The sequence below is a fragment of the Homo sapiens genome, chromosome 2 (assembly GCF_000001405.40).
Source record: "Homo sapiens chromosome 2, GRCh38.p14 Primary Assembly".
Lineage (NCBI taxonomy): Eukaryota > Metazoa > Chordata > Mammalia > Primates > Hominidae > Homo > Homo sapiens.
Genome location: NC_000002.12, coordinates 135,065,225 through 135,093,175, shown reverse-complemented (window position 1 = coordinate 135,093,175; position 27,951 = coordinate 135,065,225). Strand labels below are relative to the sequence as shown.

Here is a 27,951-nt window from a genome sequence, read left to right as displayed (position 1 = left end):
CTAAACTATGTTTACACACTTAAATTACTATCCACGATAAGGTACTAACATAAAAGATCATTATACCCATAAATACATGACAAATTCAATGCATTAAAAATAGTATCCATTCACAAAAATAATTTTTGTTGTATAGCTATCATTGCTTAGCAGATCTATACTTTTTATTTTGCTAAAAGACTAAAGAGAATGCTAATGATTTGGTGCTTTTCAGACCAAAAGCAATAGACAATGCTGATAACATAAATGATTAGTGCTCAAATCTCCTGACCTCTGATAATATAGTTTTAAACGCGTATCTGTAAAACTGAGCTGATGGTTTGGCTTGTAACTCCCACCATAAGTTACAGGCTCAATCACAATCAAATTAAAAGAAAACTGCACTTTATATGTACACTTGCAACAATGCCTTAACTAGCTTAAAATTCATTCACCTTTGGCTGGGCACAGTGATTCACGCCTGTAATCCCAGCACTTTGGAAGGCCGAGGCAGGTGGATCACCTGAGGTCAGGAGTTCAAGACCAGCCTGGTCAACACAGCAAAACCCTGTCTCTACTAAAAATACAAAAAATTAACTGGGTATGGTGATTGGTGCCTGTAATACCAGCAACTTTGGAAGCTGAGGCAGGAGATTTGCTTGAACCCGGGAGGCGGAGGTTGCAGTGAGCTGAGATCGCGCCATTGCCCTACAGCCTGGACAACAAGAGTGAAACTCAGTCTCAAAAACAAACAAACAAAAAAATAATTCACCTTCATTGTACCACAGTCTCCTTTATCTATTTATCTCAGAGCACTGATTCTAAGCCTCTTTACTACAGCAGCTTTTCCTTGATGCATGATCTTCCCTTAAATTAACAGCACTTAAATTTTCGCTATCTTGAATAGTTTCCTTCATTAATTGGCAGAACGTTGAACCTGAAAATTGCTGGGCTATTATGAGACCTCCCAACAATTGCGCACACTTCCCTCTTCCTCTTAAAGTTCTCATATTCACATTCTGGCTTAATTATTTTCTTTTGCTGTATAACTGCCTTACATATATGTATATATGGTTAATGTTATCTGCCCTGGTTTATGAATCTGAATGCATATGTTATCTAATTGTTTTGTTTCTAAGAAGAATATACGTAACAGAAAAGGTAACAAAATTCTATTCCTACACAAGAAAAAGCACAGATTTTTTCAGGTCTGAGCTTACAAATGATAATCTGTTATGATCAGAAAAAATTTAACACATTCTACCTATTTATTTGCTTAGTGAATGAAGAAGGATATTTGACTGGCAGCTCCAAAGTTCATGTTTATTCAGTATCTTGCTCACTCACTGTTATGCACTAGTTTATCTAAGGACAGAAGATTTTGGATGATTTGACCTATTAACAATTATAGACACCATTTATTGAGTACCTGGCATGGGTCAGGTACTGAGATACTTGCTTATGTACAATTTCTCATTAAATCTTCACTTAGCCCTCCAGGTAGTATTACTTCATTTTACAACTGAGATAACTCAAGCTTAGATGGGGCAACTAACTAGCAAGTAGAAAAAATAAAATTTTAAACCACTTGTTTTGACTCCAAAATCTAGAGTAAATCCAAAATACTACCCTCTAATCAACAGATTTTCCTTTATTTGTAATCCTTCAAAGCCAAACTTACTTGCTTAATTCTCCTTCTCTAATCTCCCAATTAAAAGTGATCTTTTCTCCTCTGAATTCCAACAGAATTTTGTCTGTACTTCAGGATGCACTTATCACTTTCATTATGGTTACTTACTTATCTATCTTATCTTCCCTACTGGAATGTAGGGCTTGGAAGAGTATCTGGTACATGTTAGGTACTCAATAAATATGAGCTGATTTAATTAATTAAAAAATGAATGACAATGTAATTCATCCTCTACCTCAGATGTGGTGAAACAACTTTGCTTATGTAAAACAGTTCCAGAGAAACTGACACTATGGAAGAACACTAAATTAATAATTCAAAATTACAGCCACTCCTACAAATCAGAAGTTAATATTATTATATAGAAATAACTTACCCTCTAATAACTCATCCTTTCCTTCTTTATCAGTGGACTCTTGTACAAGATAATGATGAGTGACTGAGAACTTGAAGTCAGCAAAGGAAATTTCATCTGATTTCTCTTCCCATGTGCCAGAAGTAAATATACCCTATATGTACCAATAAAATGGCAAAATATTTACCTTAATCAATAGCTATCATTATATTTACTAACGACAGGGATATTTTCCCCTTTTTCTGCCCTATAAATATCCTCCATACAATCAAAGAAAAACATAAAAGTGAATGCAACCAAGAGAAAATTATTTTATAAATGATTTATCAGTGTTCCTTTAAAAAGAAATTTCTCCTAGAATATTAACGATCAAGTGACTTACAAAGATTAATAATAATTTTTTCCAAGATTCTCTATATAAAATCATGAACACATCACTATATATTAATAATACAGCATATAGCATTTTTTGACACCAGAAATTGCTTCATAAAGAAGCAGTCTGCACAATCAATTTAAGTGGCATGACACCTGTAGCACTTATTTAACAGATTCCTGCTTCTTTTATCAAGCTTTGGCATTCAAGTCTTTCCATTTGAACAGCAACTTCTTGAATGAAAAACATATATTAATTAAGAGTTCCAAAGAGCTCCTTACTTATACAGAACCCTAAGCATAAAAAAGGATTTTTCCCACAGAGCTTCTAATCTCCCATAGCTATTTTTTCCAATGGAGAGGTAAACAGTCATTACAGCATAGCACCACATAAGGCAGGAAATACCAACCAAGCAACTAGCCAAGCACAGATAGCCCCAAACTAGATTGAAAATATATAAGCAATTAATCTGTGAGTTACTATTTTTAAAATGTTTTCATGGCTATACCTAGTGTAAACATCTGAATTTTTATATATATTCCTGGAAAGATATTTATAATTCTAAATTAAATTAAATCTTATTTTAAGTGTCCTAAGTGTGTATTATTACGTAAGTACATCAAATATCAATCTTTTCATTAGTATTTGAACTGTCATGTATGATACACATCCAAAATCATAATCTTTTTATTATACTTTAAGTTCTGGGATGCACATGCAGAACATGCAGGTTTATTACATAGCTATACACGTGCCATAGTGGTTTGCTGCAACCATCAACTTGTCATCTACATTAGGTATTTCTCCTAATGCTATCCCTCCCCTAGCCCTCCCCTCCCGCAACAGGTCCCAGTGTGTGATGCTTCCCTCCCTGTGTCCACGTGTTCTCACTGTTCAACTCACACTTATGAGTGAGAACATGCAGCATTTGGTTTTCTGTTCCCGTGTTAAGAGTGCTGAGAATGATGGTTTCCAGCTTCATCCATGTCCCTACAAAGGACATGAACTCATCCTTTTTTATGGCTGCATAGTATTCCATGGTTTATATGTGCCACATTTTCTTAATCCAGTCTGTCATTGATGGACATTTGGGTTGGTTTCAAGTCTTCGCTGTTGTGAACAGTGCTGCAATAAACATACATGTGCCTGTGTCTTTATAGTAGAATGATTTATAATCCTTTGGGTATATACCCAGTAATGGGATTGCTGAGGCAAGGAAATAAGAGAGGACACAAACAAATGGACAAACAGTCCATGCTCATGGATGGAAAGAATCAATACTATGAAAATGGCCACACTGCCCAAAGGAATTTATAGATTCAATGCTATCCCCATTAAGCTACCACTGGCTTTCTTCACAGAATTAGAAAAAACTAAATTTCATATGGAACCAAAAAAGCGCCAATATAGCCAAGACAATCCTAAGCAAAAAGAACAAAGCTGGAGGTATCACGCTGCCTGACTTCAAACTACATTACAAGGCTACAGTAACCAAAACAGCATGGTACTTGTACCAAAACAGATATATAGACCAAGGGAACAGAACAGAGGCGTCAGAAATAACACGACACATCTACAACCATCTGATCTTTGACAAACCTGACAAAAACAAGCAATGGGGAAAGGATTCCCTATTTAACAAATCGTGCTGGGAAAACTGGCTAGCCATATGCAGAAAACTGAAACTGGACCCCTTCCTTATACCTTATACAAAAATTAATTTAAGATGGATTAAAGATTTAAACATAAGACCTAAAACCATAGAAACCCTAGAAGAAAACCTAGGCATATTAGCAAAGACTTCTTGATTAAAACACCAAAAGCAATGGCAACAAACACCAAAATTGACAAATGGGATCTAATTAAACTAAAGAGCTTCTGCACAGCAAAAGAAACTATTATCAGAGTGAACAGGCAACCTACAGAATGGGAGAAAATTTTTGCAATCTATCCATCTGACAAAGGGCTAATGGATCCAGAATCTACAAAGAACTTAAACAAATTTACAAGAAAAAACAACCCCATCAAAAAGTGGGCAAAGAATTTTAATTTTTTTTCTTTTCTTTCTTTTTTTTTTTTTTTTTTTTGAGATGGAGTCTCGCTCTGTCACCCAGGCTGGAGTGCAGTGGTGCGATCTTGGTTCACTGCAACTTCCGCCTCCCAAGTTTAAGCGATTCTCCTGCATCAGTCTCCCATGTTGCTGGGATTACAGGCATGCACCACCACGCCTGGCTAATTTTTGAATTTTCAGTACAGACAGGGTTTCACTATGTTGGCCAGGCTGGTCTTGAACTCCTGACCTCAAGTCATCTGCCCACCTCAGCCTCCCAAAGGGCTGGGATTACAGGCATGAGCCACCACACCTGGCCAAAAATCATAATTTTTTTTGTGTGGGGTGGGTTTCTTTACCATGAGGTTGACCTGTGTTAAATCAAGGCATCAACTGCGTATACCAAAGTCTCAAGAGGCAGTAAGTAATATGATAATGTACATAAGAGCTTGTTTTGCTAGAAGAAATGCCCAATATAAAGCAGTTATGGCTAAAACTAGGTAAAAGAAAGTCCAGAAAAGGAGAGAGAAATCCCTTTTTCAAGTTTGCAGTAAATCTTTTTAAATGATACAGAGATACTGTCTGTCCCTAATTCTGGATTCCGGTACTATTGTCAACCTTAACCAACAACTATCTAGAGGAAGATCTGATTGTATTCAATAAAGACAAGGCATCCAAGTTCTGTCTCCAAAACAGACTCAACTGATAAACAACACTCTAACATCCCATATTCAATTCCATTAGGATATAGTCACTTGATACCAAGTTCCAGTAAGGCATGTATCTGCTATGCGAACCGAAATGACAATTCTAGTTCATCAAAACTGACCTAGTAATTCATTAAAAATTACCTTTGAGGATCCTAACCAGAAAATAAAGAGATAAATGTATAGATTTAAAAGAAAACTGTCCCTATTCACAGATTACCTGATCATGTATGTAGAATATCCAAAAGAATCTACAAACAAATGACTAAAACTGATGAGTTTACAAAGTTATGAAATTCAAGGTCAATATATAATAACCATCTGTATTTTTATATACTAGCAACAAATGCTTGGAAAGAGAAAGTTTTAAAAATACCTTACTACAATTAAAAAAAGAAATTATCTAGGAATAAACTTAATGAAAGATGAGCAAAAACTCTACCTAAAATACTTCAAAACACTGCAGAGAGATATTAAAGACCTAATAGAGATACATCACATACATGGATTGAAAGATAAAACACTGTGAACACACCAGTTCTCCCCAAGTTAATCTATATATTCAACATGATCCCAATCAAAACATCAGCAACAGGCATTTTGTAGAAATTGACAAGTTGATTTTAAAACTAATATGAAAATCCAAAGAACCTAGAACAGCTAAAATAATTTTGATGAATAAGTATACTACCTGATTTTAACACTTTGCTACAATAATTAAGACAGTATAGTATAGGCATAAAGACAGACAAACAGATCAATGAAATAGAGTCCAGAAATAACATTCGCACTTACATTTGACTTCACAACAGAGGTGCTACTGGAATTCAGGGGGGAAATAATAGTCTTTTCAACAAATGGTGCTGGAATAATTAAATATTCACATGGAAGAAAACATGAGAATATCTTGGGATCTTGCAAATACCTTGGGATAGGCAAAGATTCCTTTGACCAGACACAAAAAGCACTAACAATAAAATTAAAAATAGAGAAAATGAACTTCATCTAAATAAAATTTGTGCTTATCAAAAGACACAGTTAAGAAAACGATTAGGTGGCTGGGCACAGTGGCTCACACCTGTCATCTCAGCTCTTTGGGAGGTCCATCAGGGAGGATCACTTGAAGTCAGAAGTTCGAGACCAGCTTGGGCAACAAGACCCTGTCTCTACAAAATAATTAGCTAGGCATGGTGGTGTGCACCTGTAGTCCCAGCTACTTAGGGAGGCTAAGGCAGGAGGATCACTTGAGACCAAGAGTTTAAGGCTGCAGTGAGCTATGATTGTACCACTGCACTCCAGCCTGGGTGACAAAGCAAGACCCTATCTCTAAGGAAAAAAAAAAAAAAAAAAAAAAAAAGATTAGGGGAAGCAATGGACTACAGGAAAAACAAAATACATACCTGAAAAAGCACTTGCAACCAGGATATATGAGGATAATAAAAAAAATGAACAATCCAAATTTTTTAATGAGCAAAAGAATAGACAGCAGAAAGCGCTATGAATGACCAATAAACAGTAATTCTGATTAATTACCAGATGACTACTCACTATCAATAGTCATCAGTGAAATGCAAACTAAAACCACAATGAGATTCCATTTCACACCCAACAGAATGACTAAATATAAAAATCTGACAATGCCAAGTGTCACAGAGAACACAGAGGAACTTGAAATCTCATGCACGGCTAAGAGCATAAAATGATAAAACACTTTAGAAAAGAATTTGCCAGTTTTTAATAAAAGTAAACATGTAACTACCCTAAGACCTAGCAACTCCACTCCTAAGAATATACCCAAAGAAAGGAAAGCAGATATCTACAGAATTCTCTAGAGAAGCTTTGATAATAATAATCCAGAAATGGAGACAATTTAAATGCCCACCAATAGGAGAAAGGATAGTGTACTGTGGTATAGTTATAGAATAAAAAGAATCATACATACTATATGGGTGAATTTTTAAAACATCATGTTCAGCAAAAAAGTTAGATACGAAGAGTGCATACTGTATGAGTCTATCTATAAAAAGCTCAAGAACAGGAAAAACTAAAATATACAGTGAAGGAAGTCAAAACTGTGGTTACCTCTGGGATTGAGAAACAAGCAATCTTTCTGGGATAACAAAAATGTTCTACATTTTGATATGAATGGTGGTAACATGGGTATATACATTTGTTAAAACAATTACATACATGAGTTCTGTAAACTTCGCTGTGTATAAATCATAACCCAACAAATAAAAAATTCAATAAAATATCCCTTAAAAATGAGATAAAGAAGCAGTAGAAAAATAACTTCTGAGGAAAATGTGAGGGTTGGTGAGAGGAAGATGCTCTTTTTCCTAAAGAAAAGACAGTAATGGCAATTATGTAACAACAGCATGGTACTAATTATCATAATTTGGCACCAACCATCCTTTCCACTTATCTTTCAACCTACTCAATAAACATTAGGTAACTAAGATAGAGTCTAAGCCATAACTTTGGAGGGCCAAAGACCTCAGTAAGATAAAGATCACTGCCTTAATTAAGCCCTTCACAATATGTTTCCTGGACTGTTTTAATAGCCTTCCATCCTTCTTCCACGTGGTTATCTTCCTAAAATACAAATCTGCTATTGTTCCCTCCTCCACTTAAAATATTCAACAGCTTTCCATAATCTGTAACAGTGACCTCTATCAGTAAAAATCTGATTATACACCTCCATATATTTTTATTTCCAATTATGTATTATAGTATTACACATATTGTATAAAAATTTTAAAAACCTGACATTAAAAGGATATAAAAATGTAACATAATTAGAAGTTATAATATACAAATGTTTCAACACGAGCACCTCCAAGATAGCCAAGTTTCTCACGTTGGTGGAAATACAAAGCTTACAGATCTGACCCTTTTCCTTTCCAGTTTTACCCCTACAGCTACCTTCCATCTTCCTTGTATTACAATTATGCCTAACAACTTGTTTTTCCCCAGAGGTGTGCTTTCTTTATACACCTGTGCATAGGCTATTCCTACTGCTCTTCTCTACTTCATTCTTTCAGTATACTTTTAACTCATTCTTCAAAACTCAACCTAAATATTAATTCCTATAGAAAATCTGCCTTTGATTATTTTCAAACAGTTAGTGATTATTTCTCAGCATCTTGTTCAAATACAAGAACGATACCTTATTCTAATTATTTATTTACATGTCTATTTCTCCCCTAGATTGTGAAAAGCAAAGACTATTGTTCTATTCATCTTTGCAGCCCCGGTACTTAACAGTATCTACATGCTTAATATGTATTTAGGGTGTTACCTTTGTTCAGTATTAATAATAACCCCTGTAACTTCCAAAGGTACTAGAAAATATTTCCTAACCAGTATGTTAACCAGTAACATACTGGATATCCATATATTTCAGTAATATATACACTGTGATCTAACAAGCTGAAATAGCAAACAACCCCATCCAAAAGGTATTCCTATGTCTTGAACTGCTGCAACAACTAGATAACCACATGCAAAAGAATAAAGTTGGATCCTTTTCTTACTCTAGACTTAAAAATTAACTAAAAATCGTTTGCAGATCTAAATGTAAGAGCTAAAACTATAGATACCATCAAGAAAGTAAAAGGATGACTCACAATGATACATGCTACAATATAGAGAACGGGAGAAGATGTTTGCAAATTATGTACCCCATGGGGACTTGTATCCAGAATATATAAAGAACTCTTACAACTGGATAAGGAGAAGACAACCCAAATTGATTATTGTTTTTATTTTCTGAGAGGGAGTTTCGCTCTTGTTGCCCAGGCTGGAGTGCAATGGAGTGATCTCGGCTCATTGCAACCTCTGCCTCCCGGGTTCAAGCAATTCTCCTGCCTCAGCCTCCCAAGTAGCTGGGATTACAGGCATGTGCCACAACATCTGGCTCATTTTTTAATTTTTAGTAGAGACAGGGTTTCACCATGTTGGTCAGGCTGGTCTTGAACTCCTAACCTCAGATGATTCACCCGCCTTGGCCTCCCTAAGTGCTGGGATTACAGACATGAGCCACCGCACCCGGTCAACAACCCAAATTTAAAATGGGCAAAGGACCTGAAAAGACATTTCTCTAAAAAAGGTATACTAACAGCCAATAAAAACATCAAAAGATGTTCAACATCATCAGCCATTAGAAAAATGCAAATCAAAACCACAATGAGATACTACTTCATATCTACTAGGATGGCTATAATTAAAAAAAAAAAAAAAAAAAAAAAACCGTGTTGGGTACAGTGGCTGACGCCTATAATCCCGGTACTTTGAGAGGCTTAGGCAGGAGGATTGCTTGAGGCCAAGAGTTTAGGACCAGCCTGAGTAACAATGACACTCCATCCCTAACCGAAAAAAAAAAAAAATTTTTTTTTAATGTGTTGGTACATGCCTATAGTTCTACCTACTTGGAAGGCTGAGGCAGGAGGATCACTTGAGACCCAGGAGTTTGAGGTTACAGTAAACTATGATTGTAGCACTGCAATTCAGCCTGGGCAACAGAGCAAGACCTTGCCTCTAAAAAATAAAAATAAAAGTAACAAGTGTTTCTCAGGAGTCTTATACATGGCTGGTAGAAATGTAAAATGAAAGAGCCACTCTGGAAAACAGTCTGATAGGTCCTCAAAAGGTTAAAAACAAACATAGGATCTAGAAATTCTACTCCTAGATATACAGCTAAAAGAAATAAAAACATGTCCACACAAAAACTTAATGCGATGAATGCTCATAGCATTACTCGCAGTAACCAAAAGGTGGAAACAACTCAAATTCCCATCAATAGTCAAAGATAAATGTGGTATACCCCTACGATGGAATATTATTCAGCAATGAAAAGCAATCAGCCCTCCATATCTGCAGATTCCACATCCTTAGATTCAACCAACTGTGGGTTGAAAATATTCAGAAAAAAAAAAACATCAATACAACAATTTAAAATAATATATATGTATTTTAAAAATACAGTATACCTACTATTTATACAACATTTACATTGTACTAGGTATCATAAGTAATCTAGAGAGGATTTAAAATATATGGGATAATGTGTGTAGGACATTTGCTAATATGCCATTTTATAAAAGGGACTTGAGCATCCAGGAATTTTGGTATCCACAACAGGGATAGGGGAATGGTGTCTTGGAACCAATCCCCCCAAGGATACCAAGGGATGACTACACTGATAAATGTTACAATATGACAAACCTGGAAAACATTATGTTAAGTGAAAGAAGCCAGTTACAAAAGTGTACATATTGGCCGGTCACGGTGGCTCGCGCCTGTAATTCCAGCACTTTGGGAGGCCGAGGCAGGTGGATCACCTGAGGTCAGAAGTTTGAGACCAGCCTGACCAACATGGTGAAACCCCATCTCTACTAAAAATACAAAAATTACCTGGGCGTGGTGGCAGGCACCTGTAATCCCAGCAACTTGGAAGGCTGAGGCAGGAGAATCGTTTGAAACCAAGAGGCGAAGGTTGCACTGAGCTGAGATCGCACCATTGCACTCCAGCCTGGGCGACAGAGCAAGACTGTGTCTCAAAAAAAAAAAAAAAAGTGTGTGTATTATATGATTCCATTTATATGATATGTCCAGAACAGGCAAATATATATAGAGAGAAAGCAGGTTAGCTGTTGTGTAGGGTTAGGGGAAAATGGTAAGTGACTTCTAACAAGTATCGAGTTTCTTTAGGTGGTGGTGAAAATATTCTAAAATTGATTATGGTAATGGTTGACAACTCTATCAATATACTAAAGACCACTGAATTATATGCCTTAAATTGGTAAATTTTATGGTATATAAATTTTATTTCAATTAAAATCTTTATTTATTTATTCATTCATTCATTCATTCATTGAGACAGAGTCTTGCTCTGTCACCCAGGCTGGAGTGCAATGTCATGATCTTGGCTCACTGCAACCTCCGCCTCCTGGGTTCAAGCGGTTCTCCCACCTCAGCCTCCTGATTAGCTGGGACTACAGGTGTGTGCCACCACACCTGGCTAATTTTTGTATTTTTAGTATAGATGGGGGCTTTACCATGTTGGCCAGGCTGGTCTTAAACTCCTGATCTCAAGTGATCCACCCGTCTCGGCCTCTCAAAATACTGGGGTTACAGATGTGAGCCACTGCACCCAGCCCAATTAAAAATAATTTACACTGAGAAGATTCTCTTTTAATCACAATATTTTGTATCTGTCTACTCTGTCTTAAAAGAACCCAGGCGGTTTATAATCCGAATGTGCAGAAATCTTTAAAAATAAAGAATACTCACTGAGCATTTCATCTATTTCTGGAATAAAATAAATCAAATGTTTCTTTAGTCACAAGTAACCCTAGAACCATACATTTTTCAAGCAGCTTTCCTAAAACAAACATGCAATTATGCTCACAAAGTTGCATGCAAATAAAAACCTAGCTCTCAATTCCAACAGATATCTGGTCTGCTGGTGACCACAAACAATAATCCCAAAAGACAGCAAAAGTGTGGAAGAACACTTTTAATCTAGAAGGCTGACTTTCCTCTCACCATTCATATTGTTATGGAGATTTGCTATATATATATACACATACACACACACACATATATATACACACACATATATACATATATATATACACACACACACGTGTGTGTATATATATATATATATATATATATATATATATATTTTTTTTTTTTTTTTTTTTTTGAGACGGAGTCTTGCTCTGTCACCCAGGCTGGAGTGCAGTGGCGCGATCTCGGCTCACTGCAAGCTCCACCTCCCGGGTTCACGCCATTCTCCTGCCTCAGCCTCCCGAGTAGCTGGGACTACAGGCACCCACCACCACGCCCGGCTAATGGAGATTTGCTATTTTAAGGAATTCTTCTCTGCTGTGACATGGATATAATACGTAATATGGTCTTAACACTAATGAACGTTTGCTTCATGGCAAAATTTCCAGCTCAGTATATGTATTATGCAGACATGGATATAGATATTTTGATCATGACAATTTGGGATTAATAAATAGTTTCTAATCATTGAACAAAAACAACGCAGTCATCTAGATACATTCCACTCTATACAGGTGGCCTGGCTGGCCTTCAGCCTGGATCAAGATCATCCCACTAAAAGCACAAAAGTACAGAAAGGAATGATATCGAGGCTCAGTCCAAAAGCTCTTTTGTACGCAACTTTTGACTTTCATTCCACAGGGGAAATTCAGAAACAAAGGGGAACTTGAGATAGTCCTTCTTCAGTCACCAAGAACCACAATTCAACCAGAGAACATTCAACTACCTAAGAACTGTCATAGGAAGAGATCCTGAGCAAAGGGGACACAGCCAACTGTTAAGTGAAAAACCAGATCAAATATAAGAAATCCTCAGGGAAAAGAATTAGCCAGGTACTGATTCACGTAGGCATAAGGTACATTGGTTAACACAAATAAGCCTTCTTTAAAGGAAACAAGTACCATTTAGCATCATCTCGGGCACTCAGATCTAATAGGCACTTGGGCCTACCTTAGCAGTCAAAATCTATACTCCTTTCTGAGCCAGCCTGGCTTCATTTTAAGCCTGTGTGTTTTATTTCCTGATCTGACCTTCTCCTCTGTATATATGATCTTCTCATCTGCTCATAAGTATGTATCACATTTATGTATATCCAGCAAGGATTTGAATTACTCCAATTGCATATACTTGAAGTTCATTATAAGTATTTTTTAAAGTAAAAGCAGACTGTATGAATTAATTTCCTGCTCTTCAAGAAAGGAACTCACTCACATCTGCTAAGTACCTACTAAGCCAGATAATTCATGTGTGTGTACCCCTGTGCATACAAAATTAAACTTACATGAGGTTAAGTATTAACCTCATTTTTTTTTTTTTTTTTTTTTTGAGACGGAGTCTCGTTCTGTCGCCCAGGCGGGAGTGCTGTGGTGCGATCTCCGCTCACTGCAAGCTCCGCCTTCCGGGTTCACGCCATTCTCCTGCCTCAGCCTCCCGAGTAGCTGGGACTACAGGCGCCCGCCACTGCGCCCGGCTAATTTTTTGTATTTTTAGTAGAGACAGGGTTTCACCGTGGTCTCGATCTCCTGACCTCGTGATCCGCCCGCCTCGGCCTCCCAAAGTGCTGGGATTACAGGCGTGAGCCACCGCGCCCAGCCAACCTCATTTTATAGATGAGAAAAGTTAAGAGACTGAAAAACCTGTCCCAGGTTACCAAACTATTAAGTGGTAAAATGATTTACCATCTCATTTACCAGTAGGGTAAGTGGACATGACTAAGGACATAATTAAAGACATGATTAAATGCCAGATAAGTAGGCCATCAGTAGATTCATGAAGAAAATTGGATCCCTGTTAGCTTTTAGGTAAGGTAAAACTGATAAGAAAGAACAGACGAGGATTTGGGGCAGGAAATTGAACAGCAAATTCAGGAAACAACCCAACTCAGCTAAAGTTCCCTATAGGGGAGTAGAGAAAAAAGGTGGAGAAATTAGAGACCTGACCATGGAAGCCTATGAATATCAGTCCTAGTTCAGACTACCCTGTAGGCAATGGAAAGCCATTGAAGGCTTCTGTGAAGTCTCATAATATAATGACAGCATTAGTTCAGGAGAATTCATCTGAACACACTAGAAGGAGAAAAACAAATGAGAAAGAGAAGGTAAGGAAGGGGAAAGCATGGAGAAGTAAGGAATAAAGACAATCAGAAAGTAGTATAGGGGCCAGGTGTGGTGGCTTAGTCCTGTAATTGCAGCACTTTGGGAGGCCAAGATGGGAGGATCACTGGAGCCCAGGAGTTCAAGACCATCCTGGACAACATGGTGAAACCACATTTCTGGCTGGGCGCAGTGGCTCACGCCTGTAATCCCAGCACTGTGGGAGGCTGAGGCAGGCAGATCATAAGGTCAAGAGATCAAGACCATCCTGGCCAACAGGGTGCAACTCTGTGTCTACTAAAAATAAAGAAAAAATTAGCCGGGCATGGTGGCGTGTGCCTGTAATCCCAGCTACTCAGGAGTCTGAGGCAGGAGAATTGCTTGAACCTGGGAAGCAGAGGTTGCAGTGAGCCAAGATCGTGCCACTGCACTCCAGCCTGGGCGACAGAGCGAGACTCCGTCTCAAAAAAAGAGAAACCACATTTCTACAAAAAATAAAAAAATTAGTGAGGTGTGTTGGCACATGCCCGTGGTCCCAGCTACTCCAGAGGCTGAGGCAGAGGATCACTTGATTCCAGGAGGTTGAGGTTGCACTCCAACCTGGGCAACACAGCAACACTCTGTCAAAAGGAAAGGAAAGGAGAGGGGAGGGGAGGGCAGGGGAGGGGAGGGGAGGGGAGGGGAGGGGAGGGGAGGGGAGGGGACTAATATAGCCCAGTGATTGAAGAAGGAAATAATGGGGGGATATTTGTCCTACCAGAATGTATAACAAATTTATAGTAATTAAAATAAAATGATATGTATATAGGAATAAACATTATTCAGAATTCAGAAACAGATCCAAATACATATGGGAACTCAGTACATAATAAAGGGAACATATTCAATGGGACAGTTTGGAAAAGCTGGCTATCCAATAGCAAAACAAAAAACAAAAAGTTTCACTTCACTCACAAAAATTAATTCTAAGTAGAATATCTAACTGTTAAAAGAAAAAATCCTTCTTTAGAAGTACTAAAAAATAGAGAATTATAAATTTATCATAGTAAGGTCAAGAGACCCTTTCTACATACAGTATGAAATCTAGAAGTCATAAAGAACCTCACTACTTAAAAATATAAACTCTTGTTACATTACATATAAAAATCAAAATGGATCAAAGGTCTAAACATAAGAGCTAAAAACTATAAATCTCTTAGAAGTAAACAGGGGAAATCCTTCATAACATCTGAATTTGCAATTATTTCTTGGACAGGACACCAAAAGCACAGGCAACAAAAGAAAAAATAAAATGAATTTCATCAAAATTAAAAACTTTTGTGCATCAAGTACACTATCAACAGAGTGAAAAGGCAACCCATGAATGGGAGAAAATATTTGTAAGTCATATATCACATAAGGGATTAATATACAATATATAAAGAAGTCTTACAACTCGACAACAAAAGAAATAACCCAATTGTAAAAATAGGCAAAGGACTTCAATAAACATTTCTCCAAAGAACATAGACAAATAGGCAATAAGAACAGGAAAAGATGCTCAACATCACTAATTATTGGAGAAATGCAAATCAAAACCACAACCACTTCATACTCATTAGAATGATCATTATTTTTTTAGAAAGAAAGAAACACCAGGAAATAACAGTGTAGAAACTGGAGCCCTTGAGCATTGCTGGTGAGAATGTAAACTGCTACAGCCACTGTGGAAAACGTGATGGTTCCTCAAAAAATTGAAGAGTTACTATAGGACCCAACAATTCCACTTCTGATTGTATACCCAAAAGAGGTGACACCAGCAGTTTCTTGGGGATTTTTTTGGTAGAGATAGGGTCTCGCTATGTTGCCCAGGCTGGTCTCAAACTCCTGGCCTCAAGTAATCTTCCTGCCTGGGCCTCCCAAAATGCTGGGATTACAGGCATGAGCCACCATGCCCAGCCTACACAAAGGAACTGAAAGCAAGTAGAACAGAAACTTGTAAAACACATGTTCACAGTAGCATTATTCGCAATAGTCTATAGAAGCAACAGATGACAGATGAATGAATGGATTTGTTGTTGTTGTTGTTGTTGTTGTTGTTGAGATGGAGTCTTGCTCTGTCGCCCAGGCTGGAGTGGAGTGGCTCGATCTCATCTCACTGCAACCTCCACCTCCCAGGTTCAAGCAATTCTCCTGTCTCAGCCTCCCGAGTAGCTAGGACCACAGGCGTGAGCCACCATGCCTGGCTAATTTTTGTATTTTTAGTAGAGATGTGGTTTCATCATGTTGGCCAGGCTGGTGTCAAACTCCTGAACTCAGGTGATCCACCCGCCTTGGCATCCCAAAGTGCTGGGATTACAGGCATGAGCCACTGTGCTTGGCCAAGGAATGGATTTTAAAATGTGGTATATACATATAATGGAATATTATTCAGCCTTCAAAAGGAATGAAATTCTGACACGTTACAACATGAATGAACCTTGAAGATATTACTTCATGTTTCATGTTAAGTGAAACATGTCAGACACAAAAGGACAAATACTGTATGATGCCACTTATGTGAAGTTGTTATTGTTTAACGGGTAGACTTTGGGATGATAAAAAAGTTCTAGATATGGATGATGGTAATGATTGCACAACAATGTGAATATATTTAATGCCACTGAACTATACATTTAAAAATGGTAAATTTTATATGATGTACTTTGCCACAGTAAAAATATATATAAACTCTTGTGAAGCATAAGACATTCAAAGAAAAATGACAGATGAGGGAAAATATCTGCAACCCAGAGTCAACATTCATAAAAATATAAAAGCCCTTGTGCAATCCAATGAGACAGTAGAAAATTGGTCAGCATATCTAACATGCCATCAAAAAGGAAATTCTAATATCTAATGAACACTAATGAATGCTCAATCTCATGAGTGCTCAGGAAAATATAAATAAAAATGAGATAGTTTTAGTCTGTTATATTAGAAAAAATATAATGAAAATAAACAGTGTGGACAGAGTGAGGATATGGGTGCTTTCATATACCATATGTGGAAAAAGTATAAATGCAGTCAACTATTTTGGCAGAAAACATGGCTGTATTTATCAAAAATAAGAATCATGTCCTCTTTGACCGAGTAATTCCACTTTTAGAAATCTGTTACAGAAGGCCGGGCACGGTGGCTCACGCCTGTAATCCCAGCACTTTCGGAGGCTGAGGCGGGTGATCAGCAGGTCAGATCATCGAGACATCCTAGCTAACATTGTGAAACCCTGTCTCTACTAAAAATACAAAAAATTAGCTGGGAGTGGTGGCACACGCCTGTAATCCCAGCTACTCAGGAGGCTGAGGCAGGAGAATCACTTCAACGCAGGAGGCGAAGGCTGCAGTGAGCTGAGATTGCACCACTGCACTACAGCCTGGCGACAGAGTGAGACCCCGTCTCAAAAAAAAAAAAAAAAAAAGAAATCTGTTACAGAAATATTCATACAAATATGCAAGACTATTCACAAGGAGATTGGTGGGCTCAAATGAAAATGCCTACAGAGACTGACACTCTGTGACCACACAATGAAATAAAAAAGTTTTTGATCCTATGACTCCCACGAATTTTAGTTCCTCACTCTCAAATGAGTAGATAGAGATCGTCAGATATTTGAGGAAAACCCCCATATGAAGGAAATAGTGACCCCCCCCAAAAAAAGGCAAATATAAAAAAAAATTTAAAAAAAAAAAGGCAAACATGCAAGAGTATGTAGAACAATGCTTACCACCACAGTACCTTAACTGCAAAAACTGGAAAGTAAATATTCTTCAATAGGAACATGTATAAACACATTATGATAATCATACAACAGACTACAAAGCAAGAATTAAAGTAACAATAGATGTTTATGTTCTATCTTGCAAACATGCCAAGATACAGTTTTTAAAAAAAGATAACTGTAATAAAAAGTTACTCATCTTTTTTTCAAGGTATAATGTGCACACATGGAACTGTTAAAAGTTGTTCTGAAAAGTAGATGAATGGAGAAGTGATGAGGAAGGGACTATCACTTTTTTATACATATGCATCATTTGGTGTGGTTACATTATTTTTGTAATTAAAGGTCTCTAAAATTTTTTAATGAAAGAATTTGTTACTCAAAAAGTAGAAAAGAAAGAACAAGGGAAACAGTGGGGACTGGCTCCACAGGACAGCCTTCTAGGCCCTTAGACAGATACCTTGCCCCAAAATATTTCCCCATATAATTTTAAAGTGTTTACTTAACTTTTCTTACATTTTACTGAAATTCCAGAAGCATTTTTTTTTAAACGTTAAAAACTTGAGGACTAAATGATGCAAAGTGTGGAGTCCTGATTAGTAAGCAACAAGGAAGGGGTCCCAGGTGGGGGAGAACAACTGTTCCAAGAGACAACTAATCACAAACAACCTGCTGGCACAACATTCTGTTCCCAAATATCTCGTCCATACATGGCCCCTTTGGCATGACCCTATAAAACTTCCCTCCAGCTCCTGCCTCTTAGTAGACAGCCCCTTCTCTGCTGTGCTGCCAGTATCGTATCTTCGTGCTTTTTCTAATACGTACTTCCTCTAAATACATCTACGTACTTTCTCTAAATCTGCCTGTCTTTACCTACAACTGTCTTGGTAAATCCTTTACTGCCCATGACACTGGCCCCAACCAGTGGCACCTGCAACATTTTGGTGGCCCATCTGGGGAGTGCTTGGGGACTGCTTGGGGACCTTTCTCTTACTGTCTCCCTTCCCTCTCCTCCAACTCCAACCTCTTGGTGGACAGTGTCCAAGCCCAGAGACAACTGAAGGTTCCTGGCCAGGGCCAGTAAAAAGATGTCTGACCCGCCACCCAATCGGGTAAGAGTTCAAAGTTTGCTTTCCTTTTCAGTCTTCTGGCAGACAAACTCTAATATTCCTCTGGCAATGAATGACAACTGGCCAGGGCCACTCCCTGGTATAGCCTGAAGGCTAGGGACTGAACAGGTTTGGCCACCTTGCCCAGAAGGGAGGAAGGCTCTCTCCTGTCCTTTCTGTTGGAAAGTCCCCAATCCCTACGTTTGGCATAACTGGCAGGCAGAAGCTTGACCAGGGCAAACCTATACACATTTTGGGGAAGTCAGACCCCCCTCTTTCTCACTCTAAATTCTCCCACGTAAGGCAGCCAACCCTCCTGCTCCAGACATCTTAAACCAGGTAATCCCAAACAGCACCCAGACAGTGAGTCTTCCCTCATCCCTTTCCCCTCCTACCTGGATTGAGCACCCAGCACAATTCGTACCTAGACTAACCTGGGGTCTTTCACCTAGTGTTCATCCAGTGTAAGGCCCTAGTGCCAGGAGATCCTTTCCAATAGGTGGAATGCCCCTTTGGAAAGTGCATCGAGAAGTCCCTCAGCAGATGTGAGTGGATCCCTCATCCCTTGGTGGGATGCCCTGGGAGAAACTGCAGTTTGCGTCCCCAACAGACGTTTTTTACGGTCCCATCATGGGATGAAGCCCCTCAATTCCCTCAGACTCACCCCTGGGTTGCATTTTAAAGCACTGGGATAAATTTAACCCTCAGACTCTCAAAAAGAAATGTCTAATTTTCTTTTAGCATGGCTGCTATGCAAGAAATCCTCAAATTAACCTCCTCAGTCTTTTATAACTGAGAGTAGAATGAGGAGGACAGGGCTAAAGAGAAAGAAAAACACAGGAACACAAGTCAGGCTCAAGTGCTGGCTGCTTTTATAAGCCCCCAGCCTCCTCCAGGTAACTGCCACTGGTGCAGAAGGCCAGGCCACTAGAAGGCAAACTGCCCCAATGAGATACATGGGAAAGAACCCTGTACAGCTTGCCCCTCTGTCACATGCTCAGCCATTAAAAATGGGACTGCCTAAAGGCCAAAGGGCCCCCAGGATAATCCCAACCACTGATGGCCTTGAGCTGAGGGGTCTCTCTGCTCTACCTGGCTTCCAAATCAGACATTGGCATCAACAAAACAAAGGCAAGGGCAACTCTGAGGATGCAAATGAAATTATAAATTTCCCTTTTGGGTTCAAGAGCTGCCTACTCTGTACTAATCTCCTTCCCTGAGCAACACTCTTCCAAATCCTGCTGGGTAATGGGGGCAAATGCACTCCCTCTCTCTGTCCAAAAGAAAAAAATCACACTGCTTTATATTACTTAAGGGACCAATTACCATTCTCTCACCAGTCCTCGGCAATGTCTAAATATTCCACACCCCTTTGGGGCAAAAATATACTTTCCAAGATGGGTGTCTGCTTAATATGTGCCCAACCTCTGAATTCATCTTTCCCTCTAATAGCCCTATTTCTCCCGGGAAAGCTACCTAAATCTTTAACCAGTAACTTCAACCTACATAGTCCTACCCCTGGGCTTAAAAATAGCCCACACTTATTCAGACAGACCCTAGCAGGAAATCTAACTGGGCAATCTCTTGAAGGGGGATAACTTCTACAGTATGTAGACAACTTCCCTATCTGCTCCCCTTCACAGGCTCACACAGCAACATGTAATACAAACCATAACTTACTAACAGAAGAAAAATAATTTCTGCCTAATTAAAGGTTATAATGGTAAAGAGGTATTTTTGGTAAGGAAGGTTATAAAAAAGATACTTTATATGAGAAAGGATCTTGTATGGTAATTTCTTGTCCTAAAGTAAAATAACTCATTGTTTAAAAATAAGGGATGTTCAGGACAAGTCAAAAAGTCCAAGCATATAATAGATGGTCTACGTAAGTCATGAGAAAATCATGACAGGAAATTTATAAAAAGAATATTGTATGTAATTAAAGCATAATAGTCTCTCTAAAATTGGTTCCCTATGTTGTGTCTAACTAAATTCAAACACTTTTTCATCAAGTTTAACTTCCAGGTTACCCAAATGGGCTTCCAATAAGGACAAAAAGTCACACTGCAAAAGGTTTTTTGCCTTTTTGATAACTGGCTTAAGAAACAAAACTTTATCTTCTAGAATTCTACAGTTTCACCTACAAATGATACTGCAAACGGGATATAAGTCTCTCCCCAATGATGCCTGCTACTTTTATGAATCTTCCCTGGATTCAGTTGAATGCTAGTTATGTCTTAACATGCTCCCCCTCTCCGATAAGTCCCTTCCTCCAACAAGATCCAATATATGGCTGGGCACTGTGGCTCATGCCTATAATCCCAGCACTTTGGGAGGCTGAGGTAGGAGGATCACTTGAGGTCAGGAGTTTGAGACCAGCCTGGTCAACACAGTGAAACCTCGTCTCTACTAATACAACAAAGTAGCCAGGCATGGTGGTGCACACCTGTGGTCGCAGCTACTTGGGAAGCTGAGGCACGAGAACTGCTTGAACCCTGGAGATGGAGGTTGCAATGGGCCAAGATCACACTACTAGATTCCAGCCTGGGCGACAAAGCGAGACTCATTTCAAAAAGAAAGAAAGAAAGAAAGAAAGATTCAATACAATATTCTAAGTCCCACAATCCAGGACAATGACCTACAGAGTCTCCTGACAGACCAACAGCCATTGGCAGGGCCATTGCCATACCCATGGTTAGCAGGAAGTGGTTGGGAGATGAGACCTCTACCCTCAATGTCAAAGACTTGTCATCATTGTTCTGCTGTGGGGGGAATGTGGAGACCTGATAGGTAAACAACAACATGGAAGGGGAGCATGTAGCCCCAGGAACATAACCTCATCCTGCATTTAGGCCCCTCCAGCTCCTTCCTCTTTGCAGACAGCCCCTTTTCTGTTGTGCTGCACTTGCACCCTTGCAACATATCTTTGTATCTTCATACTTTCTCTAATAATTCTTTTTTTTTTTTTTAACCTACGACTGTCTTGGTAAATTATTTTACTACCTGCAACACCAGCCCCAGCCAGTCGTACCCACAACAGAAAGGAATTCAAAGATAGGAGCCTAAAAGAAGTTTCTGTGACTATTTTAGTAAAATATGAAACCAAACTATTTTTGTAACATCAAGTAATTACCATCCATTCAAATATTTTAAATAAATTAATAAAACTGCTTTCCACTGATTAGGATTAGCATAATATTTTGGACAGGGGATGAAGTTAGGGGGGTAGAGACTGGAAACAAAGGAAAAAAGTGGGTAATTTTGGAGCATTTAAGGGCCAGTAAAATGAGGCTCTGGGCCTCAAGGCCAGGATACTAGGATTATGAAAAAGGGTAAGATGGTAGAAGGGTATCAAGGACAAATTTCACCAACTTAAAAACTACCAGTCCTGTATGTGCATAAACTGTGGCTTCCACACAAACCTGTAGTCTCTATCATACAAGCTGTCCCAAAAGTACATGTTCAAGTAAGCCTTTGTATATATAAATTCTGTCAACATGAAATACATTAATTTTTAAAATAATGAATATATACCAAAATATTTTTAAACGTTAGCTTTTATTTAACCTTTTTGGGGTCATGGGCTCCTTTGAGTATCTGACAAAAGCTATGGACCACCTCCCAAGAAAATTGTGCATATTCACATTCAAAATTAAGAATGCATACAATTTAAAGAGACCCAAGACTCTGGATTAAGAATTCCCTTTACAGGCCGGGCGTGGTGGCTCACGCTTGTAATCCTAGCACTTTGGGCGGATCACGAGGTCATGAGTTCGAGACCAGCCTGACCAACATGGAGAAACCCCATCTCTACTAAAAACACAAAATTGGACGGGCGTGATGGTGGGCACCTGTAATCCTAGACACTCGGGAGACTGAGGCAAGAGAACTGCTTGAACCTGGGAGGCAGAGGTTGCAGTGAGCCGAGATTGCGCCACTGCACTCCAGCTGGCTGACAAAATAAATAAATAAATAAAAATAATAATTCCTTTTATAGGCCAGGAATTTGAGACCAGTCTGGACAACACTGCAAGACCCTATCTCTACTTAAAAAACTAAAGACAGAAAGAACACCCATTATATACCATGGTAAAGTCCTTCTATCCACGATGAGCTATGTGGCTTTTAAACTGGTTGAACTCTAACTGCCTGAACAGCTCCAAGTCATTAGTTACACATGTTGACCTAAAAGAAGAAGCTGAGGCAAAATAACAGAGGGATTTTATTTGGGCCAAAGTTGAGGACTGCAGCCCGGGACACATTTCCAAGTTGCCTTGGGGGGTGTTCTGTCTGTCTGTCTGCCTCTGTTACAAACAGGTTTTTAAAGGAAACAAGGAGTGAGCTGATACCAAGTTGTTTGACAGGAATTCTCATTGGTTTACAGAGATAACACTGATTAGTGATTGGCTATACATTGTTGAACTACAGGGTATGAATTATAATACCCATCGTATGGCATTTTATGGCCATTGGCATCATTTAACAACCCACATGGCAAGTGGCTTCAAGGTAATTATTTAGCTCAGGAGAGGTGAGACTGCTGTTACATTTTAAATGACTCTTTCTGATGGATAATTTAAAGAAGCTCCCATTCCTCAGATAAAAATTTTTTTTCCTTTCCTGGAGGGAGGCACAGAAAGTATGACAGCTGAGATAAAATGACTGTGGAGTAAAGGGAAAAGGGTTTAATAATCTGGAGGTGAGGGAGGGCAGGGGTAGAAGGTTGTTTTAATAAACAGGAAGTGAGGGGGATAATTCCTACTGCACAGTAGGCTCTCTACAAATAAATAAATGAAAAAAATGAATAAAACGAACAAAAAGAAGTAGTTGAGATGATGAAGAATCTTTTATGACATGGCCCCAAAAGTAGAGAGAAAAAATTAATATTTTATTTGCTACCCTGTAAACATATCTTAAACACATCTGTTCTATGGAAAAATGCAATTGAAATTCTCAACAACCATTTTTACAAAGTTTTAGAAAATGACTCATCCATAAAACTTGCCAATTTATATGAAATTCATTAGAAGGAAAAATCAAATCACTAAATCAAAAACCTAAAGGGAAAAATGACTAAATAAAGAAAAAAAAGTACAGAAAATGGTTAATTATAAAACTAAATGCAGAAAAATTAAACTACAGTTATTTTAAAAGGTACAAGACCATCCAGAAGACTTTCCATCTTCTGTATAATGCTTTTAAAAATGCCACCATCACCATATTTTAACAAAATTCCCAGGTAAGTAAATGTGGTCTGTTTACACTGCATATCTTATACAAAGGGAACATGACAAGTTCAAGGGGTTAATCGTGTATTCTGGGGAGTCAATCAACAAACATGTACTAAGCATATACCAGGCAATGTGTTGTGTATGTAATAAATGAATTATCAAATTAACTGTTATTACTAATGATACCAAATTACACCCTCTGTATGCCAGACCATAAAAAAGGTTAAGAGTCACAGCAATAGAGATGTAACTGCCAAAATCTCCCGTAAATGATTATGGCTTTGTTAACTTATTTTTTGTGAAAAATCTTTTTTGTTGCATTCATTATAACAAAATGTGATCCCTACCCAGCCAAGTGGTAAAATTTAAGTTAGCACGTCGTGTAATGAAAATGAGTATTAATTTATGAAAAACTCTCATAGCAGATTGATGTTTGTTGTTTAGAATTACAGAGAAATTTCATTACATCAAACAGTGTCTAAAATAAGCATGGATTGTTTTGTTTTGTTTTGTTTTTTGAGATGGAGTCTCACTCTGTCACCGAGGCAGGAGTACAGTGGCGTGATCTCAGCTCACTGCAACCTCTGCCTCCCCGGTTCAAATGATTCTCCTGCCTCAGTCTCCCAAGTAGTTGGGATTACAGGTGCCTGCCACCACACCTGGCTAATTTTTGTATTTTTAGTAGAGACAGGGTTTCACCATGTTGGCCAGGCTGGTCTTGACCTCCTGAACTCAGGTGATCTGCCCACCTCAGCCTCCCAAAGTGATGGGATTACAGGCGTGAGCCACGGCGCCCAGCCTCTTTTTTTTTTTTTAAGAAAAATTTTTATAGTCTACTTCCTTTAGTGGCATATACCTTAAACCAAATTTAAGTTCAAAGTGAAATTCATAATGCATATTGAAAATTTCACTTATCACAAATTTAGTTATTGTGCTGTAACTAAATGGCAAGCAAATCATTAAAAATATATAAAAGAATTAGGAAATAATAGAACTAAAAATGTCTAAAAAGATACTTAATTCTTATCTATCTCAGAATTAAACTTGAGCTTTTTCAGCCAGAATATATTACATAAAGCTTTCCCCCAGCTAGGTGCTATGCTTTTAACTGATAGGTGCTCTAAGAAACAATCGTTTTTATTGCAATAGAGTGTTAAATAATTCTATGTTTATATTCTACTCTACTTAAGCAAGTATCATTTTACTGACTCTAGTAAATACTTGTAAGAGAGGCCAGGCTCAGTGGATCACACCTGTAATCCTAGCATTTTGGGAGGCTGAGGCGGGAGAATCACTTGAACCCAGGAATTCAAGACTAGCCTGGGCAACATAGTGAGACCTTATTTCTACAGAAAAAAAAATTATTTAACCAATTAGCTGGGCATGGTGGCATGTACCTGTAGTCCCAGCTACTCAGGAGGCTGAGGTGGAAGGATAACCTGAGCCCAGGAGGTTGAGGCTCCATCCAGTGAGCCAAGATGGTGCCACCGCACTCTAGCGTGGGTAACAGCAAGACCCTCTCTCAAAAATAATAACAGCAATTAAGACAGAAAGGCAAAAACAATAAATAATGACTAACAGTAACTGAGACAGCACAATGCCACAAAGCAAATAAGCAACAGAACTAGGATTCCAACACAAGCTGTACCACTTTGAAGTGCATACTCTTCATCACCTATGTGTGCTATTCTGCCTCTTAAAGATATCTCCTGCCATTTTTATATTACAATAAAAATGTTGACAACAATAACAGCAAGATTCCCAAAACTTCCAATTTGAATGAATCAGAGATATAACAAAACACCTATTTTTTTTCTTCTACATAATATCCAAAGAAGCTATAGACACTATGGTTACGATTTAAAGGAAAAATAAAAATGAAGAGGAAAAAAAACAAACTACAAACCTTATCTTACATGTCCCATTCCAAACAAGGTTGTGAGTAGCTCAATGTTGCTTCTGTTTTTATTTACTGAATTTCAAAAACACTGCATTCCCATCAGTGACTGATCCTCAACCTTCTTTAGTTTCCAAAAACTTCAGCTTTGATAAAACATATACTCCTCCACTTTAATACTCCATAAAAAAACTAAATGTTCTGAGATAATGCAAATAAAGGAATCTAAACTGTTTATATAAAGTTTATATAAGTCCCAAATTTGACTTATTGTTATAACTTAGTTTGGGAAGTTTCTAATTGAGAAAATTTATAATTCAAATTCATTTTAAATTTGCCATATGAACTTTAAGTACTGAAGTGTCATTCCCATCTACTGAGTGGGTATGAAAAATGTGAACTCATTTCAACATCATTGTAGTCATTATTATTCTATTAATACTCTCAAGCTAATTCTTCTTCCATGAATTTTTCAGGGAGATACGAGTCAGTCACTGACTAAACAGTTATATTACTGGATCATGACATACCTAAACTTAACATTTCATTAAAAGTACTTAAAATTTTTGCTAGCTAAATAGAATCATAAAATTACAAGGCTAAAAGGAACTTAAAAGGTCATTTCTTTACTTCCCTTGCCTTCAAGGATCATACTCATACCACCAAGATTTTTATCTATTTTATAAAGCCCCAGACAACAGAATCCCAAAATCTGCCTTAGAAACCTATGTTAATACTCACTGGAAGTAATTTTACACACACTTAAATTTCTGAAACCAAAAAGGACAGAGTAAAATAGAAAGAACATGGGTTCTGAAGGCAAGACCTAGGTTTAATCCCGCTTATACCAAAACTACTGGCAAAATGACACTGGGAAAATTACAGTACCACATGAACTCAAAGCCTTATTTCTCCTCCATAAAATAGGGTTATAACTAACTGTTGAAGTCTGTTTAAGGATTAAGTTAACAGACACAGTCCCAACTATAGTGCATGATACCAATACCATAGCTGGTGCTCAATAATTGCCATTTCCTTCCCTTTTAAAATCATTTCCCAGCACTTTGGGTTCTGGTAATGGCAAAGCAGCTTTGTCAGATAAACTTTCCTATAAAATCTGGACAAAAACACCATTTTTCAATGCTCTGGAGAGAGACCAAATGCAGGCAGAAGCTGGGAAGAGTTTACCCATTGAGAAAAAGAAAGTGTATCTGACAACAGGCACTTGTTTATACCTTTTTGTCTAAGAGCAATTCTCAAACTTTCTGGACTCAGACACCCTTACACTCTTAAAAATTACTGGCGGGGTGCAGTAGCTCACGCCTGTAATCCCAGCACTTTGGGAGACTGAGGCAGGCAGATCACAAGGTCAAGAGATTGAGACCATTCTGGCCAACATGGTGAAACCTCATCTCTACTAAAAATACAAAAAAAAATTAGCTGGGCATGGTGGCGCACACCTGTAGTCCCAGCTACTGAGGAGGCTGAGGCAGGAGAATCACTCGAACCTGGGAGGCAAAGGTTGCAGTGAGCCGAGATCGCGCAACTGCACTCCAGCCTGGTGACAGAGTGAGACTCCGTCTCAAAAAAAAAAAAAAAAAAAAAATTAGTGAAGATCCCGTATTAGAAATTTTAAGAGATCCTTTCATAGTTCGAAAGCGTGACGTTTAAGTTTTCACGCATACATATGAGATATGCCTCCCTCAAACATTGTCACAACATTGGTACATTACCATCTGACATGAAAACACAAAAAAATTGAAAAGGAAAAAATTGTAATTTATTAATTCATTACAAATAATGATGAACTTTTTATATTTTAACATATAAGTTCTAATGACATTTTCTGGAACAAAAATATTAATGAGAAGAGTAACCCTGTTCTACCTTTTTGCAAATCTGTTTAATGTATAGCTTTTAAAAAGTTAACTATATTCTCATATCTGCTTCTGCAATGAATCACTGCAATCCATTGTTCTAGTTGAAGTATATGAAGAAAATTTGGCCTCAAGTACACACGTACCTAACTGGAAAAGGCAGGGACCCTGATCACCCCTTGCAAAGTTCTCAGAGACAGACAACGGTCCTCAGATCACACACTGAGAATTGCTGATCTAAGGGGGCTCTAATCTGTGTACAACTCGGGAAG

At 38.1% G+C, this 27,951-nt stretch overlaps 1 protein-coding gene and 1 non-coding gene across 6 annotated transcripts in view, besides 2 other annotated features; one reads left to right on the top strand and one right to left on the bottom strand.

Annotated features, from left to right (window-relative positions):
* The window catches only part of RAB3GAP1 (RAB3 GTPase activating protein catalytic subunit 1), a 124,105-nt gene that overhangs the window by 83,221 nt on the left and 12,933 nt on the right, over window positions 1-27,951 (bottom strand). For all 5 annotated transcript variants that reach the window (XR_001738674.3, XM_011510823.4, NM_001172435.2 and 2 more), the window contains exon 4: window positions 2,046-2,178. Coding sequence is in view for 4 of the 5 variants with exons in the window: in XM_011510823.4 (XP_011509125.1) it covers window positions 2,046-2,178 (133 nt within the window). In the remaining variant the exon portion in view is untranslated. The remainder of the gene's footprint in view (window positions 1-2,045; window positions 2,179-27,951) is intronic.
* Window positions 1,220-1,364: an enhancer, noted in NCBI's record as "145 bp enhancer 203 fragment used in the MPRA reporter construct; PK_construct_2135". NCBI's record gives its function as "activates an SV40 promoter by MPRA in HepG2 cells {active_cell/tissue: HepG2}" and the evidence as "EXISTENCE:reporter gene assay evidence [ECO:0000049][PMID:23512712]".
* Window positions 1,286-1,299: a transcriptional cis regulatory region, noted in NCBI's record as "HNF4 motif; enhancer activity is reduced when this motif is scrambled". NCBI's record gives its function as "necessary for full MPRA enhancer 203 activity {active_cell/tissue: HepG2}" and the evidence as "EXISTENCE:site-directed mutagenesis evidence [ECO:0005528][PMID:23512712]".
* On the top strand, window positions 27,442-27,544 carry LOC124906178 (small nucleolar RNA U13). The gene has a single exon (XR_007088763.1). It is a non-coding gene; the product is annotated as a small nucleolar RNA U13 (small nucleolar RNA).